At 37.1% G+C, this 19,008-nt stretch overlaps 1 protein-coding gene across 2 annotated transcripts in view; it reads right to left on the bottom strand.

Moving 5' to 3' along the window:
• Nucleotides 1-4,135: 4,135 nt before the first annotated feature.
• The window catches only part of CDC40 (cell division cycle 40), a 51,806-nt gene continuing 36,933 nt past the window's right edge, over nt 4,136-19,008 (bottom strand). For both annotated transcript variants that reach the window (NM_015891.3, XM_047418862.1), the window contains 6 exons: nt 18,565-18,666; nt 16,889-17,004; nt 16,499-16,632; nt 10,125-10,201; nt 7,392-7,536; nt 4,136-6,414 (listed from right to left, as the gene is read on the bottom strand). In NM_015891.3, the coding sequence (NP_056975.1) occupies nt 6,237-6,414; nt 7,392-7,536; nt 10,125-10,201; nt 16,499-16,632; nt 16,889-17,004; nt 18,565-18,666 (752 nt within the window). In that variant the 3' untranslated portion in view covers nt 4,136-6,236. The remainder of the gene's footprint in view (nt 6,415-7,391; nt 7,537-10,124; nt 10,202-16,498; nt 16,633-16,888; nt 17,005-18,564; nt 18,667-19,008) is intronic.

The raw sequence follows: 19,008 nt of genomic DNA, 5'->3' as shown, positions 1-19,008 counted from the left end.
GTTATAAAGACACATGCACATGTGTGTTCACTGCAGCACTATTCACAACAGCAAAGACATGGAATCAAGCTAAATGCCCATCAATGATAAGCTGGATAAAGAAAATGTGGTACATATACACCATGAAATACTATGCAGCCATAAAAAGGAATGAGATCATGTCCTTTGCAGGGACATGGATGGAGTTGGAGGCCATTATCCTTCGCAAACTAACACAGGAACAGAAAACCAAACACTGTATGTTCTCACTTCTAAGTGGGAGCTAAGTGATGAGAATATATGGACACAGAGGGAAACAACACACACTGGGGCCTGTTGGAAGGTGGGGGATGGGAGGAGGGAGAGGATCAGGAAGAATAATGGATGCTGGGCTTAATACCTGGGTAACAGGATGATCTTTGCAGCAAACCACCATGGCACACATTTACCCATGTAACAAACCTGAACATCCAGCACATGTACCCTTGAACTTAAAAGTTGGAAATTAAAACAAACAGGCTCTAGGGGTGATACCTCAGGGGTGTATGGCAGAAGCAGATGCAAAGCCACTCTAAAAGGACTTTTCACCAATCCAGGCTACAAAGGATTTCCTTAGAAAAACAAAACCCATAATAAAATATTAGAACGGACAAGGAAATAAACAGTCCCCCATGAGGTAGAGTTAGCAGACACAATAAACCACGTGGTTTTCAGCCCAAGAACTTGACATAACAGAATAACAATCTTAAAGAAAGTATAATATACATGATTTATCATGATTAAAGGCATAAAGGACTATATATGAGCCATAAGAAAATACGACACTGTGAAAAAGAACAGGTAAATATAAAAAAGTACAAATACACCTTCCAGAAAAGAAAAACAGCCATGGAAATAAGAAGTTTAATGGAACAATGGCACCCTGGACACAACTACAGAGACGTAAAATGAACTGGAGGCGGGCGCAGTGGCTCACGCCTGTAATCCCAGCACTTTGGGAGGCCAAGGCGGGCGGATCATGAGGTCAGCAGATCGAGACCATCCTGGCTAACACAGTGAAACCCCATCTCTACTAAAAATACAAAAAATTAGCCGGGCGCGGTGGCGGGCGCCTGTTGTCCCAGCTACTTGGGAGGCTGAGGCAGGAGAATGGCGTGAACCCGGGAGGCGGAGCTTGCAGTGAGCCGAGATCCAGCCACCGCACTCCAGCCTGGGCGACAGAGCGAGACTCTGTCTCAAAAAAAAAAAAAAAAAAAAAAAAAAAACCTGGAAGACAGGCCTGAGGAAATTACCCAAAATGTAGCAAGAAAAATATGAGCATTTGTATTTTTTATATGAGATATTTTACGATCAGATTGAACCTTACAATATTTTTCAGAAGATGAGGCAGTATACTGAATATCTGAGCCACTCTTATGTAAAATGTGGTACTATAACTGTACTGTGCAATATGGCAGCCTCTAGAGGCATATTGCTACTGAGCACTTAAAACTGTGGTTAACTGAGAAACTAAATTTTAAATTACATTTACTTTTAATTAATTTAAATTAAAATATACAGTCACATACCACATAATAACCTTTCGCTCAGTGACAGACCACCATATGATGGTGGTCCCCTAAGATTATAATGGAACTATGCAATGGAGTAGGCTATACCACCTAGGTTTGGTACATACGTTAACTCTATGATGTTCGGACAACAATGACATCACCTAATGACACATTTCTTAGAACGTATCCCCATTGTTAAGCAACACGTGACTGCACTTGATTTTGTTATTGGAAAACTTCTAAGTATGTTTGAAACAATTTGGGCATGTAAATCTACTTTGTATGAAAGATAAAATACTTTGATGAAAATGTAGTGTCTGAATTGAGATGTGCTGTAAGTGTAAAATATATACCAGATTTCAGACTCCATATGAAAAAAGTAAAATATTAATTTTTAAAATAATTGAGTACATCTTCAGATAAAATTTTGGATATGTTAAAATATATTATTAAGTCCCTTTTAAACCTGGCTATTAGAAAATTTAAAATCACATATATGACTGACATATATCTATTGGACAGAAGTATATTAAAACAAATAAAACATGGAGATCTGAGTTGCTCCCCCAGACCTAAAAAGCTGGAGGCTGGAGAGTGGGGAATGAAAGAAACTCATTTGATGACAGCTATTGCAGATGTAAGAAGCTGTAGAATCAAGAGTTTCACTTTCACTTACTGTCACTAAAAATAGTCACTCTAAGGGTGCTGGCTGCAAGTCTGTGACTTCTTTTAAGTTCCAGATAAAATTGCAATTAGGTTTAGAAAGTTGTTTCCACAATTATTAAAGTGACTATGAATATGGAACATGTACACATATACTATGTGCATACATTATACACACATATACATGCACATACACATGTGTACAGTGCATATTTTTGACCAGCTAAATTTCTCTTTGACTTTACATGTCCCACATAGTCTAGTTTCCCAAATGCCCAAGATAAATTTGGGACTCTACCTCAGTGCTTCTCATTTGGGGATCTTGCTAAAAGTGCTGACTTTGATTTGAAGATCTGAGTTGGGAACAAAAATTCTACATTAAAAAAAAGCTGGCCGGGTACGGTGGCTCATGCCTGTAATCCCAGCACTTTGGGAGGCTGAGGAGGGCAGATCACCTGAGGTCAGGAGTTCGAGACCAGCCTGACCAACATGGAGAAACCCCATCTCTACTAAAAATACAAAACTAGCTGGGCTGTGGTGGCGCATGCCTGTAATCCCAGCTACTCGGGAGGCTGAGGCAGGAGAATCGCTTGAACTCGGGAGGCAGAGGTTGTGGTGATCTGAGATCGCACCATTGCACTCCAGCCTGGGCAACAAGAGTGAAACTGTCTCAAAAAAAAAAAAAAAAAAAAAGCTTTCTAGTGATTATTTGTGTGTCTACATATATATATAAATATATATTTTTAATTTGAATCTTCAGTTAGTTCGTTCATTTTACTCAGTGATCAAAGAAACATTTCATAACCTGAATTTTGAGCCCAGTGCTGCAACAGACACTTTCCTCCCATTGGATCTTCTCTTCTTCTCAGGCCCTTCGTACTTGCCTTGTTTTTACTGTATTTCATCAATTATTTTATGATATACTAAGAAAAAATTAAATGCTGCCCATTAAACTAGGACATTCATTTATTTTAACTAGAGCCCTATTCAAAAATGTCAAAATGTGAAAAATATGCATCTGTGATGATACATGGAATCAGTTTCCCCAGGTCTCACTTTGAGACCCACATTTAATACTGCTGAAGGATACTGGGTGCCTGGATGCCACTTTATACCCCTTCCCATACCTGAATTCACAATGGCTCCCCCAAATAATTCCTACTTTTTTCTGAATTCTACATCTCAGTAAGCAACGCAACCCCTAGGTAATTCAGATGCAGAGGTTCTCAGTCCATACCCTGAGAAACAATGTTCTCCAAGAAAAGTCTCTATAATTGTTCCCAGTGTTGTGATATTTATGGTTACCATCTAAGGGTTTGCTATTTCAAAGTCAATGTTTTCTTACAGGTATTTTATAAATATACCAAGGATACCAGGCAGCCCCACAATGTAGCCTCAAGAACTACTTAGAAATGTGGCTGTGTAACACTACTCCCGTTTTTTAATCTTAAAATTTGTTCCTTGTTTAGGACAAAATATTTCCAGCTTGTGACTCAATATTTAAATATTCATTCCAGTAAATATTTCACTAAAGCATCACTTTTATCGTAACTTTTAGGAAGGAAATCTGTCCTGGATATGACAAAAAGGCTGCAATAAGGAAAAGGAGCCAGATGGTAACCACCTAAGTCCAGTAACAATGTGATCTTGAGACTTTTTATGCTGAAATATAACCCCACTCATTTATGTACTCTAAAATGTTGTGTAGTCATGACTTAGTGCCACCACTAAATGAATATGGAATGTGTTAATGTGCTCTGAGGGTACTGCCATGTATTTTATTATATAATTATAAACCCACTGATATACCTGAATAAACCACATCCACCTCTAAAGCATTATTTCTCTCCATATGACCCATTTAAAACTGCAAATGGCTTAATCTAGTGTCTCAATACACTTAAGACTCAAAAGGAGACTAAAGATGAACAAGATGAACATTTTGATAGCACTTTCTACAAAAAATGCTTTATTTAAAAATATGATCTTTTTAAAAAGGAGACTTTTATACACACTTACTTTAGAAACAGTCAAAAACACAACAGAATCAATCCAGATTTAGAAATGATGATTTGTAACATACAATATTGGTATGCTGAACAAGACAGTTTAAATGTATGATTCTTTTTGTCCCTTCACATTTCAATAATTCACATTTGTTAAAACTAGTGGTTGGGACTAAAGAAAAGGTCATATCTGAATCCTTTCCCCTTCAGAAATCTGTCACCCTTCTGGGCAGTTACAGAAATGGCAGCAGCTAGGCAATGTTTGTATTTCTTTGGGTGCCTCTGTGTCAAAAAATATATCTCCGCTTTTATTCTTTTTCTATGAAATTTATATTTATGTGGCTATAGGGCCTGGTCGTATGTCCCACGCCTTTTAAAATCTAAATTTCTAAAAACAGACACTCCGTAAGGGCAAGGAGCATACACTGCTATGACCTCACTGGACTCAGAGCTTAATGCTCTTAGGTTATCAGCAAGAGACATGATTTTGATCTTCCAGTTAGCACTCCAAGCTGCTATCAACCAACCTTTTTCAGCACGGTAGTGAAATATTTCAAACCATATTCAAACATCTAATATAGATTTATAATAAAACAGGAAAAATGGCTTGCCAAATTAAAGTGCTATGAGCTATTACATTCAAGAGGTTATCTTGATTTTATTTTTTGAGGTGGAGTCTCGCTCTGTCGCCCAGGCTGGAGTGCAGTGGCATGATCTCAGCTCACTGCAACCTCCACTCCTGGGTTCAAGCAATTCTCCCTGCCTCAGCCTTCTGAGTAGCTGGAATTACAGGCGCCAGCCACCAAGCCTGGCTAATTTTTGTGTTTTTAGTAGAGACGGGGTTTCACTATGTTGGCCAGGCTGGTCTTGAACTCCTGACCTCAGGTGATTCACCTGCCTCAGCCTCCCAAAGTGCTGGGATTACAGGCATGTGCCACCGCGTCCGGACTATCTTGATTTTATAATCTGATGTTTTCAAAAACTATTTTTCACCATGGCCACTGCTTCTCAAACTGGGGAACCCTAGCCATCTTCCAGGAGTGTCATTTTTTTTTTCAGACATAGAGGTTTAAAAATTTTTTAATCTTAAAAAGTTCTGTTGTATATATTCACAGGTAAAATAAGAATAATTTTAAAGATAAAACATATGACTTCAAAGAAATTACAAGTTGACATCTTGGACTCTACCCCTCGTACTTTATCTCCTATGAGGAGGATTTCAGTAATCACAGCTGCGAAGCAATGACCTAGGAGATCCTGATTTCTCAAAGCGTAGCCAGGTCTTTACTGACAGTGAATGTAAATACAATTCAAAGTCTTGGTGCATTCTCCTGAGCTCCATCTTCAGATATAATGTAATTCTCTGATTAAATATATATAGTCCTGTCTATACTGATCAGGAATTAAGTCAACAAAAGAACTCTGGACTGATTTTGATTTTTCACTGTTTATAATTAGAGGAATGCTACAGTTAAAGATTACTGCTTTACAACTAAAAATATACAACATATATCATCAAAGGGAGTGGAACTCATGAAGCCAAAAGATTAAAACTTGACCCAGTGAAAATAATAGGGAGAGTAACTGTGGGTGATTTTATCCTTCTTCCAAATTTACATTAAAATATATTATCCCTATTCTTTACTGCCCTTTTGGTTGAAGAGGTAAATACATGCATTTTTCTGAATAATTAATTATAACACCTCCTCTAGAATCCCAAATCCACTAGGGATTCTTTCTTGACCCCAAAGAGATGCTTTCAGTATGTCATGAGTATAAACTCAAACTGCTTGCCAATTATAACTACTTGTCAAATAGAAAGTCAATAGCCACTTTCTGTATAAATAACATTTATAAAAAACAAAATGAAGTTGCAAATGAAATTATGTCAAATTTACAGTTTCTTTTTTTAAACAAAGGGTCAATGTCATCAACATTATCTGTAAATCAAGTTATCATCAGATACATTTAATAATTAAATATAAATATGACAATGGATCAAAAATGATCCCAGCTAGTTTAAGGATTAATCTCATTAATCCCACAATTTAATGAGACCATCCCAACCACATGTTATGACCTTAGAAGTTTCATGAGGATGCCACACTGCACCTATACACACTTTATCATGAGCTTTAAATCGACTGTAGAGTTTTGTGGTCTTCCAGTCCCAAATGTTTAATTTTCCATTTCCATCTCCTGAAATCACATAACTATAATGGGAAGAAAGATAAATTCAAATTATTAAAATACCTTAAATTGGTAAGGCGAATGAGGAATAGGGACGTTATCTTTTCACGTTAACATTAAAAAAAAAATCCAATGCAAATATACAATACTCAGAATAAGATGGTAGAACATGAAGCAGTCTATAATTTGAAATTCTATTAAAAAAACCTCCCAACCAATCTAAGAGTAGAAAATTATTTTTAACTGGGAAGACTGGGAGTCCCAGGAGCCACAGTGAATGAGGTTACACAATCAGTCTCTAGATAGTCAGAAACAGAGACTGGAGAACCAATTCCACATATAGCTAGGGAACACCTTTAGATCTATTCTATCACAGTAGGCTCTAACACTTTCATAATTACTTTTTGGCTTTAATATCTTTTGAATACATCTAAGACTGAATCAGAGGTAGGCCCAATTACTAGGCTAAACAAACAAAGTTACTGGGATTTCTAAATTACTTCTGCCTATACATTTTAACTAAGAACCATGCTGTAGGCTTCACAAATCCAGTGTGACCTAGAAATATTCAAAAGCTGGATTTGAGGTTTCAGCACAGACAAGCTGTAGTGAAGCTGTAACTGCAACACTGTAATACACAATTAATTCTTCTGGTGTTCATTCAATCATAGCAATACAGTGATTATAGCACTTCTAGTCTTGCTTAGAAAAGCAGAGAAAATAAGGCATTGGTTATATAGACAGGGATTTATTAGGTGGCTAAAGGGCATAAGCCTAAGTAATAGAAGGGAATATACTGAAGCAAGAACCTAAAAAAAGCAAAATGTAATTTTCCTAATTTGTTCTTGCCTTTATATCCAGCATTTTGACAATTTTGACAGATCATCGAGTTCTCATAAAAACATATTATGTGAGAGTGATGTGTCAAGTGTTATTTGTACAACAACAGTTTATATAATCATATTTGAATACGAGAATGGATTAGAAGATTTAAACTTACCTCATGTCTGGTGAAAAGTCCACCTGACAAGCATAGCCTGCTACCATATGGCCCTTAAAAATTTTTTTCTTATTTAATCTAAATCTGTTCTGTGCTCCAAAAATTAAGATTTGGTTGTCCATTGATTGGCATGCTAGCCATTTTCCTGTAAATTCAATAAATGAGGTATTTTAGAGGAAGACTAAAACAATTTTTAAAACTTTTTATTTTAAATATGTTCACTGTGATTAATATAAGTTTTGCTCCCAAATACTTTATAATACTAAAAAATAAATTTACTATACCACCTGTAAAATGTTATAAATATGTCACTGGCAAGAGGTATTAATATATAAACTAATGGCTTTTGCATATACGATCCTATATCATTGAGCACTCTCATATAAAAGTTTTTAAAAAAATAAGGAAATATAGAAATTCCAAGCTTAATGTTAAAGAAATAAGCTAAAAGTTGTGAAATGAAATTAATTTATAGTAAGTATAGACAACAGAACTATGGGAAATAGGAGAAAGAGACTTATCTGTGGTAATTACAGAATAAAGAAAGATTAAGGGGTGAGAAAGCCTAGGGTTATTAAATAAAACTATACAAAAAAAGATATATTAAAAATTATAGTAACTTTTTAAAAGGCTACAATGCTTTTCTCTACTTAGGATTCATCAAAGCCCCTAGAGCCTAAACTGCAGCGTCTATAGTCATGCACCACTTAACAATGTTTTGGTCAATGATGGACCGCACGTATGACAGTGGTCCCATAAGATTATAGTGCTAAATTTTAACTGTACCTTTTCTATGCTGAGATTTTACTGTACCTTTTCTATGTTTAGATACACAAATGCTTACCACTGACTACATTATTCAGAACAGCAACATGCCATACAGGGGTAAAGCCTAGGAGCAACAGGCTATACCATACAGCCTAGGGTAAGTAGACTATACCATCTAGGTTTGTGTAAGTACTCTGTGTGATGTTCACAAAATGACAAAATCACCTAACACTGCATTTCTCAGAAGTACCCTTGTTGTTAGGAATGCATGACTATACTTGCATCCTATATATAGTCATCCCTTGGTATCTGTTGGGAATTGGTTCCAGGATCTGCACCCCTACCCAATACCAAAATTCACAGATGCTCAAGTCCCTTATATAAAATGGCATAGTATTTGCATATAACCTACATATCTCCTGTATACATTAAATCACCTCTCGATTACTTATAATGCCTAATGCAACGTAAATGCTTTGTACCTAGTTGTTATGCTGTGTTGTTTTTAATTGTTGTATTGTTATTTTTTATTGTTTATTTTGTTGAATATTCTGGATTCGTGCTGGTTGAATCCCAGGATATGGTGCTCATGGATACAAAGGGCCAACTGTACATGTAAACATTACTTACTAAGGAAACAGACTTAAATAATGCCTGAGTGGGTAAATGGCCTTGTTCAAGATGGGCACAAAATCTGTAATAGGTGGTTTAAAAATACGCTACATGAAATATAGATGCACAGTGACGAAGTATATAATCTAGCAATGATCAAAAAAAGGTTCAGTTAGGTTTCTCTTCTCATAAAAATGATAGAGCATTTGACAACTATTACCATTTGCTTGTGTCAGAGGCCCTGATGGAACAGCAAATTCTTCCTTGCCCTACACTTGGAGTTAATTATGTGAATTGACAGTGGTTTCAATGACAAGGTCCCCCAAACATCAGAACTCCCACTTTAAGACTCTCATGTAAAGCTATAATTACATCAGTATATTGTCAGTATATCTGTAGCACAAATTATCTTGTACGTAAAAGACAATGGATTAAACAATATTAAATAGATTTATCTTCTTAATTTTTGCCTGAGAAAATCTTTTATAGTGAATTGCTAAAGTGTTCTCTCATTATGGAGAATCAGACCAAAACTTCCTATCCCCTGAAAGAGTTTACAGTAAATCACTATTACTATTTTTTTTTTTAGAGAGAAGGGTCTTGCTCTGTTGCCCAGGCTGGAGTACAGTCACATGATCATAGTCAATCTCCTGGCTCAACCAAACTGCCCATCTCAGCCTGACCAAGTAGCTAGGGCTACAAATGTGCACCACCATGCCAGCTGATTTTTAAAATTTTATTTTGTAGAGATGAGGTCTCTCTATGTTGCCCAGGCTAGTCTCAAACTCTTGGGTTCAAGTGATTCTTCTGCCTTGGCCAAATCATTATTAAATGATTTACTGAACGTGATTCTGTTTGGAAGGAGAATTAGAAAAGAAAACTCTGGCCGGGCATAGTGGCTTAGGCCTGTAATCCCAGCACCTTGGGAGGCTGAGGAGGGAAGATCACTTGAGCCCAGGAGTTTGAGACTAGCCTGGGCAACAAAGGGAGACCCTGTCTCGAAAAGAAGAAAAGAAAAGAAAAGAGGGGAGGGGAGAGGAGAGGAGGGGAGAGGAGGGGAAAAGAAAAAAGAAAAGAAAACTGATTGTTAAATAAAAATCTGATGTTCAATCAATGTTAGCTGTAAATCATTGTTTCTTTTATTTTTATTTAAAAAGAGACACAGAAAAGTAGGTGAGGTGACTTGCATATGAAAACCAGTAATTCTTTCTAATATTGTAAAGATTACCTTATACAAATAATGGCACAGTGACAAACTTCCCCAAGAAGGAAGGGGCCAAAGTTCTTTTGAATAAAGAAATCACACTGTATCTTAGAAGCTCATTTAAAAATACAATCTACATACTAACTCACCATTTGGAGACAAAGTCACTGCAGGCATTGAGTGCATACTGGGTTCTGCTATGTACTTGAAATCCACAGGGATATCCCTAAAAATTTTAAATAGCATATCAGAATAAGCAACTTTTAAAAAGTACCTTCAGAATTATCTCTGGAACAAAGGAATAATATGCAAATAAAAGCAAACTCTTGATATTATATATTTAATAAATCTTTCATGAAACTTTCTGGAAGAAGAAAAATCACAAGATGACACTGTACTGCTTATGGTAAATCCTGTACTTCATAAATCACTTTCCATGATCATTATAACAGTGGTGGTGATTTTGTTTTCTATTTCATTTAAACTTTGGCCTTTATGTTAAAAAATCTGTTACTGAAAGAAAGTTCTTTAATAATGTACCATGGTGATGGATACACTAAAATCTCAGAATTCACCACTATATAATTCATCCATGTAACCAAAACCCACTTTTACTCCAAAAGCTGTTGAAATAAAACCAAAAATTAAATTAAAAATGTACCATGGTAGGGTGAAGCAAGATGTCTGAGGTAAGCCTATGGGGAAGTGTTATTTACTGGCTAGCCTACCTTAACTTGAGGAGGTGAGAGTGTTAAACAGCCTGCAGCAATGCAGGTGGATGGCAGGCAAAGCTGTAGGGATCTGTGAGCTGATCTAGCCCATCCAGAAATGATGATAAATGATGATAAATAAATGCTTGGTACCTGGACTATCTTCAGTTTACATGTAAAGCATTTCAAATGTGTTTGGTGAAGGAGAAAAAACATAAAAAAAAAAAAAAAACCTCATGTGAGTGATGAAAGAATGAAAAAAAAATTAAAAAGTAGCCACCTAAATTTAGAACCATCAAAAGTTCTAAGTGCCTTTTCATTTTTAATATTCTCCATGCTAAAAATTCTTTTCTGAAAGGAGTTTTCGTCTTGTTGCTTTTCATGAGACCAGAAATATTTTTTTTGTAATCTGATGAATAACACAGATTATACAGCAGCAATTTCAATTTCAAACCCTGTTTCAAGTTCCAATACTTTGATTAACTGGAAAATAATAGTAATTTGCCTTAATATAAGGATTTTCTCTATTTATCCATCCATCCAGCAGAAGGAGGAAATGACTAGAAAAAACTTCTATCAGGGTCATGGTCAGAGGAAAACATTTTCAGGTATAACCTGGGGAATAACATCATTTGTCAGATCTCCAACCCTTTATACCTCTATGGTACCAATGAGAACTGACATTTATAATGAACCAAAAGTATTAAAAAGAGCTGCAAATGAAAAAAGGCTTGTTTCTTCCCTCCTCGTATTGTTAGTGGTTAATAATTTTACAACATGAATTAAAACATGAGAATTTTCTAAATTAAGCATAGTCCAGGTTCATATTGATCAATGTGTTAACAAAAGTAAACAAAAATATTCAAATGGATACCTTATTTCAAGGAATCTTCATACCAGGAGCTGTGGAAGAAGAATTTGAACTACCCGGTGGACTTCATTATTTCTAGCAAAAATGCCTGCTAGGCATAGTTATATTTAATAAACACAACATGGCTGGGCGTAGTGGGTCACATCTGTAATCCCAGCACTTTGGGAGGCCAAGGTGGGTGGATCACCTGAGGTCAGGAGTTTGAGACCAGCCTGGCCAACATAGCAAAACCCCATCTCTACTAAAAATACAAAAATTAGCCGGGTGTGGTGGCACATGCCTGTAATCCCAGCTACTTGGGAGGCTGAGGCAGGAGAATTGCTTGAAGCCAGGAGGTGGAGGCTGCAATGAGCCGAGATCATGCCATTGTACTTGACACTCTAGCCTGGGTGACAGAGCAAGACTCCATCACAAAAATAAATAAATAAACAAACAAACAAACACAGCACTAATTGGATACTGTAATTCAGTATAATAAGCTAGTAACTCATATCTTGCAAATAATCTCCAGTTTAAAAATGAATTCACGAAAAAAACCTAATAAAAGTCTGAATTTTTAAAGCTAAATGATAAACAGTAGTGTCAACTTCTATAAAATTTTATTTAAAAAATATTTTACCAAAATAAATGCCTTCTGGAAAAAACATGCCTATGATATTTCATGCATTTGGTCGATTAAAATACCACAAGTTGGCCGGGTGCAGTGTAATCCCAGCACTTTGGGAGGCTGAGGCGGGTAGATCACAAGGTCAAGAGATCGAGACCATCCTGGCCAACATGGTGAAACCCCGTTTCTACTAAAAATACAAAAATTAGCTGAGCATGGTGGCGCATTACTGTAGTCCCAGCTACTCGGGAGGCTAAGGCAGGAGAATCGCTTGAACCCAGGAGGTGGAGGTTGCAGTGAGCCAAGATTGTGCCACTGCACTCCAGCCTGGGTGACAGAGCGAGACTCTGTCTCAAACAAAACAAAACAAAACAAAACAAAACAAAACAAAACAAAACAAAACCCTACAAGTTGCTGAATATCTAATATAGCTTTTATTCTCCTTTAGAACATAAGAGTTAGTTTGTGTAGTATTATTTAAGAAAGCCGTTTCCTTTGTTTTCTTTTATCATTATGGTACTCTAAGCAGGTACAAAGTATAAAAGTTTGGCAAACACCACTTGTCTGAAGGCCCCAGTGTTGCTAATTTTCCCATAGAGGAGGTCAGCTGTCACTTTGAGGAGGTCAGGGCCTCCCTTCCTCTCCTAAGCAAGTGGCCAGTATCACTAGTAATTGCTCTTTGGGATGATTTATGCAGTGAAGCACAGTTCCGGGGATCCTGAGTTGGTTTTGCTTCCTATTTATCTTTGTAGCAGGACAGACCCTCACATTTATTACTTTCTCACTAATCAAATCAAATACAAGTTATTAATTAATACCTTCTCTCCTTACCAGTCCCCTCATTCATCTAACCATCCATTCATATGATCAAGAATTCAAGCTTTGTGAGGCCAGGAGTTTGTGACCAGCCCAGCAAACAGAGTGAGACCCTATTCTTACAAAAAATTTAAAAATTAGCCAGGCGTGGTGGCACGCACCTGTAGTCCTAGTCACTCAGGAGTCTAAGGCAGGACGATCGCTTGAGCCCAGGAGTTCAAGGCTGCAGTGAGCAATGACTGCACCACTACATTCTAGTCTAGGCAACAGAGTGAGATCCTGTCTCTTAAAAACAAAAAACAAAAACAAGCTTTGGAATCAGTTTGATCAGAGTGTGAACTCTGGCCCTTTCGTGTCCTGTATAACCTTGGGCAAATTACTTAAACTATCTTATTTCCTTATACATAAAATGGGAATAACAAATGTACCTATCTTATAAGATTGCTTTGCACACTAAATCAGATAGTTCACGTGAAATGCTTAGGATAGTGACTGGCATATAGAAAGAGCTCAATCAGTGTAACATCATTGATAATTACACCAATAATGACTTCTTTACAGATTCAGCACTATTGTGTGCCAGGCACTGTGCTGGGAACAGACAGTAAGCATGACTCACACTGTTCTTTCTCTCATGGTTAAGAACTTGTCAGGAAAGAGAACAAATAAACAAGTACTTGAAGTATGCTAAAAACTGTGGAAAGCCAATGACAGTGTGGGACGATGGAGAGGAGGCACCTAATCTCATCTGTGGGCTGGTCAGGAAGGCTCTCATAGTAAGGGTTAAACTGAAAACTGTTTTTTGTTGTTGTTGTTTGTTTTTTTTGTTTTTGAGATGGAGTCTCACTCTGTCACCCAGGCTGGAGTGCAATGGCATGATCTCAGCTCACTGCAACCTCCACCTCCCGGGTTCAAGCGATTCTCCTGCCTCAGCCTCCCAAGTAGCTGGGATTACACGCGCCTGCCACCACGCCCAGCTAATTTTTGTATTTTTAGTACAGACGGGGTTTTACCATGTTGGCCAGGCTGGCCTTGAACTCCTGACTTCGTGATCCGCCTGCCTCGGCCTCTCAAAGTGCTGGGATTACAGGCGTGAGCCACTGTGCCCAGCTTTTAATTTTTAATTCTTTTATTAAGATGGGGTCTTGCTCTGTCACCCAAGCTAGAGTGCAGTGGCACAAGCATAGACCACGGCAGCCTTGACCTCCCAGACACAAGCAATCCTCCTGCCTCAGCCTCCCGAGTAGCTGGGACTACAGGCCTGTGCCACCACACTAGCTAATTTTTGTATTTCTTGTAGAGATGGGGTTTTACAATGTTGCCCAGGCTGGTCTCAAACTCCTGGGTTCAAGTGATCCACCCAACTCAGCCTCTCAAAGTGCTGGAATTACAGGCATCAGCCACTGCACCCAGCCAAGTTACAGTAAAATCTAAAGAATGTCATCATTTGTAACAAAACAGTATCATGACTTTTTAGGAGTATTTCCTAAGATCTGAGAGGAAATGAAAAAAAAAAAAAAAAAGAAACATACTAACATTATCTGCTAGTTTAATAAAAATTCTTTCCTGACCAATGTTTTACTTCAGAATACCCACATACACATGTCCTTAAGCCCTGTAATTGCTCAATTATTTAAATATTTACCAACTTCTTTTATACCACTCTATATTTAAAATTGAAAATATCTGAAGGTAGAAACATCAGAAAGTTTGAGTATGATCAACCTGTTAAAGTATATAAAACAAAACAGAACATGTATATGCATCCAGAGTTTGTGCAAGTGATCTAAGGTGGCTCATATAAAACTTGGGGTCCATATTAGATTCTCTGTAAAAAAATATTTCTGAATTAAGAAAGATCTTAGCTGTAAGGTACCCTCTAACATGGGCTATATATTAAGACTACTCTCTACTAATTGGGGATAATCTGAAGGGGTATAGTGGTGGTGGTGGTGAGTGTGGGAGAAACTACAATTAAATTACATTAAATGCTCAGTCACCCAGATTGTCCTGACAATGGTTAGGGACCTGCTGAGGTCCCCAAAGGGACTTAAGTATAAAGAGGAAACCACTGGCTGTGATTCAAGGCTTTCCACTTGTTAAAGCAGAAAAGCTTCTGGGGATGGAAAGACACACTTTTTAGTCTTTGCTAGGAGGACTCATGGTTGAGCTGTGCTTCATAACTGACTGTAAAAACATGGCGGCTTCCATCCAATCATTCGTTTTAACAAAAAGGTTAGTAAGCATTTTTTTTGCAACTAAATTATAGAACACACTATGATATGTAATGAAACTAGTATATTGCTTAACTTTAGAAAAATATTTTTTCCCTAGTAAAGTACAATTAACCAATATAATATGACTATATTCCATAAGTAAAACATTTGTACCAGAGTCATGATATGGGGTGATATGGTTTGGTTCTGTGTCCCATCCCAAATCTTATCTTGAATTGTACTCCCATAATTCCCATGTATTGTGGGAGGGACCCTGTGGGAGATAACTGAATCACGGGGACAGTTTCTACCATACTGTTCTTGCGTGGTAGTAAGTCACATGAGATCTGATGGTTTTATAAAGTGAAACCCCTTTCACTTGGCTCTCATTCCCTCTCTTGCTGCCGCCATGTAAGAAGTGCCTTTCTGGCTGGGTGCAGTGGCTCACGCCTGTAATCCCAGCACTTTGGGAGGCCAAGGTGGGCGGATCATAAGGTCAGGAAATCGAGACCATCCTGGCTAACACAGTGAAACCCCATCTCTACTAAAAAATACAAAAAATTAGCCGGGCGTGGTGGCGGGCGCCTGTAGTCCCAGCTACTTGGGAGGCTGAGGCAGGACAATGGCGTGAACCCGGGAGGCGGAGCTTGCAGTGAGCTGAGATTGCGCCACTGCAGCCTGGGTGGCACAGCAAGAATCCGTCTCAAAAAAAAAAAAAAAAAAAAAAAAGTGCCTTTCTCCTTCATCAATGATTGTGGGGCCTCCCTAGCCATGTGGAACTTAAGTTCATTAAACCTTTCTTTTGTAAATTGCCCAGTCTTGGGTATGTCTTTATCAGTAGTGTGAAAACAGACTAATACATGGGGCATTTTCAGTACTGAAAAATCATAAAAAGTAGACATTTAAAAAATTAAGATATACACCACTATTTTCTTTGGGTGGTTCTAGGGCCATGATCTTATGCTCAGTCCCCCTACTGCTTGCCAGTTATTTTACAGAGATGAATAAGGTACCTAATAAAGAATGTAAGACAGCAAAATACAAATCTGTCATCCGTATAAGAAAAACAACTCAAGATACACATCCTTTGGAAAGACTATCCAAAGATTATAAATGGTAGCATGTTTGGATTTAATCTGCATATTGTCAGTACTTAAATAGTTAAAACAGTTTGATTGGCAAGCCAGGATCACAGTTGCAAAAAATATTCAAATGGTTGCATATTATCAGGCTTCATCTTTGTCTATATAATTTTTAACTGCTTGCTTTATGTAAATCAGATTTTCTACTGATGGAAACTCACCATTCCCAAACTCTTAGGCTTTTATCATCAGATGTGCTCACAAATCTCCTATTCTCATCCACAAAAACAATGGTGTTGACAGCTCCCAAATGCCGATCATATTCCTGCACAATTTCTCCACTTCGAATGTCCCACTGTGTATCAGGCAAGAAAAAAGGTAAAGACAGAAGTAGAGTGGATTTATGAAAGACCATAATTCTGGAAAGTGGAGAAGGAGAAGATCTTCAACACGATATTTTTATAAATGTAAATTTTTCTGCTAAGAATGGTGCATTAGCCGTCCCTAAAAGTAGCAAACATTAAATGAGTAATATTAGCTTATTAACTTATTCCATCCCCTTATACAACATAAAGCTTAGGAGTCTTAACAAAATACTGTGAAAGACTTACTTGCACAATCTTCTTATCAGACATCCCAGCCACAAAGAGATTTTGCTTATCTTCATCAGGATTGAATTTGACACAATAAGGTACTTTTCGGTTTGTAAATCTTGATATACACTGTCCTAAAACCAAAGACTCAAATTAAATAGGTAAAATAAATTTGACCACTTAAAGATGACTGTGAGATTAAGATCTAGAGGTCACCTGCTTAATACATTTTGAGGAAGGGCTGCCTGCTTGCTCTTTACTGTAAACTACATTTGTTCTTTTTCACAGATTTTTAATGATTAAAAATAATTTTTTCAAAAGTAAATCGGTACTACCAATTGTAGAATAAATAAATTATAACTTCATTCATATAATGGAATAGTGCAAGCAATAAAAAAGAACAAACTACTGGTACAAGCCATGAGGGAATCTCAGATATTATGCTGGAGCTAGAAACAAAAGAGAAAAAATGGTATGATTTCGTTTATAAGAAGTTTAAGAAGAGGAAAAATGAAGAGGAAAATGATGACAAAAGTGGTTACTATGGTTACTGGCAGTGGGCACAGACTGGAAAAGGGCATAAGAAACCTTTACTGAGTGCCGCAAATGTTCTAGATCTTGATCTTTGTGGTAGACAACTGCATAGATATGTTTACCAAAAAAAAAAAAAAAAAAATCACTGAATATTTAGGCACTTCATACATTTTACTGTATGTGTATTTTATCTTGATTTTTAAAAGAATCTGCAAAATAGTAGTCTCTCAGCCTTGGCTACACAGTACAATCATCTAGTCTATAGCCATACCAATTATATAAATACCTTTGAAGGTAGGACTCAGGCATCAGTAATATTAAAGCTCTTCAGATGATTACAATGTGTGGCCAGAATTGAGAACCACTGCTAAAGTGCTGAAGAATATGGGCTTTGGCATCAGAGAGAGCTTCGTTTGAACCCAAGTCTGCTACTTATTAGCTGTGTGACCCTGAAAAAGTTAGCTCTTTAAGCCTCAGTTTCCTTATCTATAATATAATAATAGTACTTACCTCATAGGGATAAATTAAGATTGAAGGAGACACTGAATATCAGTGCTTAGCAATTATGCCTGTTAAATGATGTTTAATAAACATTAACTATTATCATTACCCTTCAGATGCAGTAAGGGTAATGACAGTAAGACAATAAGATAGTAAGATAATTTTTATAATTACATAAAATTATACTAGCCACAACATATTAATGTGAATCAATTAATAAACAGCAATTAGTATGGCTGTGAATATATAAAACCAACTGGCCTGTGAAAGTTGAGACCTACATTTTAATCAATTTGCGCAAATACATTTAATTTTGTTCATTAGACATTTATTGCACTTCTGTTATGTGCAATGCACAGTGCTAGGTGATGTAGGGGAACAAAAAAATCAATTAGATGGCCTATACAAGATTTCCACTTTGCTTATTTGTCAGTACGTTTGCTTTATAAAATCTATCTGGTGGAAACAAGTTTCACAGTGAAAGAGCTACTCATGCTCAGTTTCGACTTACAAATGTATTTTGTGATATTTGCTGACAGTGAATGGTATGAGAATCAGCAGTTAGAGAAGGTGCCATTTTGCCACAAAAGACTACTCACACCATTTCAAATATAAATAACTTGTAAGATGAATGTGTATTAGCATAAGTGAACTCTTACCTGTCTCAGTGTCCCAGAGCTTAAGATACCTGTCATAGGCTGCACTGAGGAACTGTGTTCCTGCAGTATTGAAGCAGATATCCCTAACAGCCTTACTGTGACCTAAAGGTGGAGTCAACAGAAACAGCAATGAGGTGAAGTATCATATATCTTCTTCTCTTAAAACATTAACACCATAAAGACAAACAGCACTAAGCAGTGGTTCTCAGCTGTGAGTCAAGATCACTGGAATGCCACCGCCTGATTTACTGACTTAGAATATGTTATGTGTGGGCTTCAGAATGTGGGCGTTTTTTTCCCCTTGAAGAAGCTCCTCAGGTGATTCTGATGCATAACATCTTGGTTAAGAACCAAGAGGAAAAGGTTTAACTTTTCTTTTAAGTCTGCCATAGCAATTACTTAATATGCAGTACATACAAGTGATGACTAGCTAGCCAAGAATTT

The sequence above is a fragment of the Homo sapiens genome, chromosome 6 (assembly GCF_000001405.40).
Source record: "Homo sapiens chromosome 6, GRCh38.p14 Primary Assembly".
In the NCBI taxonomy this organism is placed as follows: Eukaryota; Metazoa; Chordata; class Mammalia; order Primates; family Hominidae; genus Homo; species Homo sapiens.
This window is presented reverse-complemented; position numbering and strand designations above follow the sequence as displayed.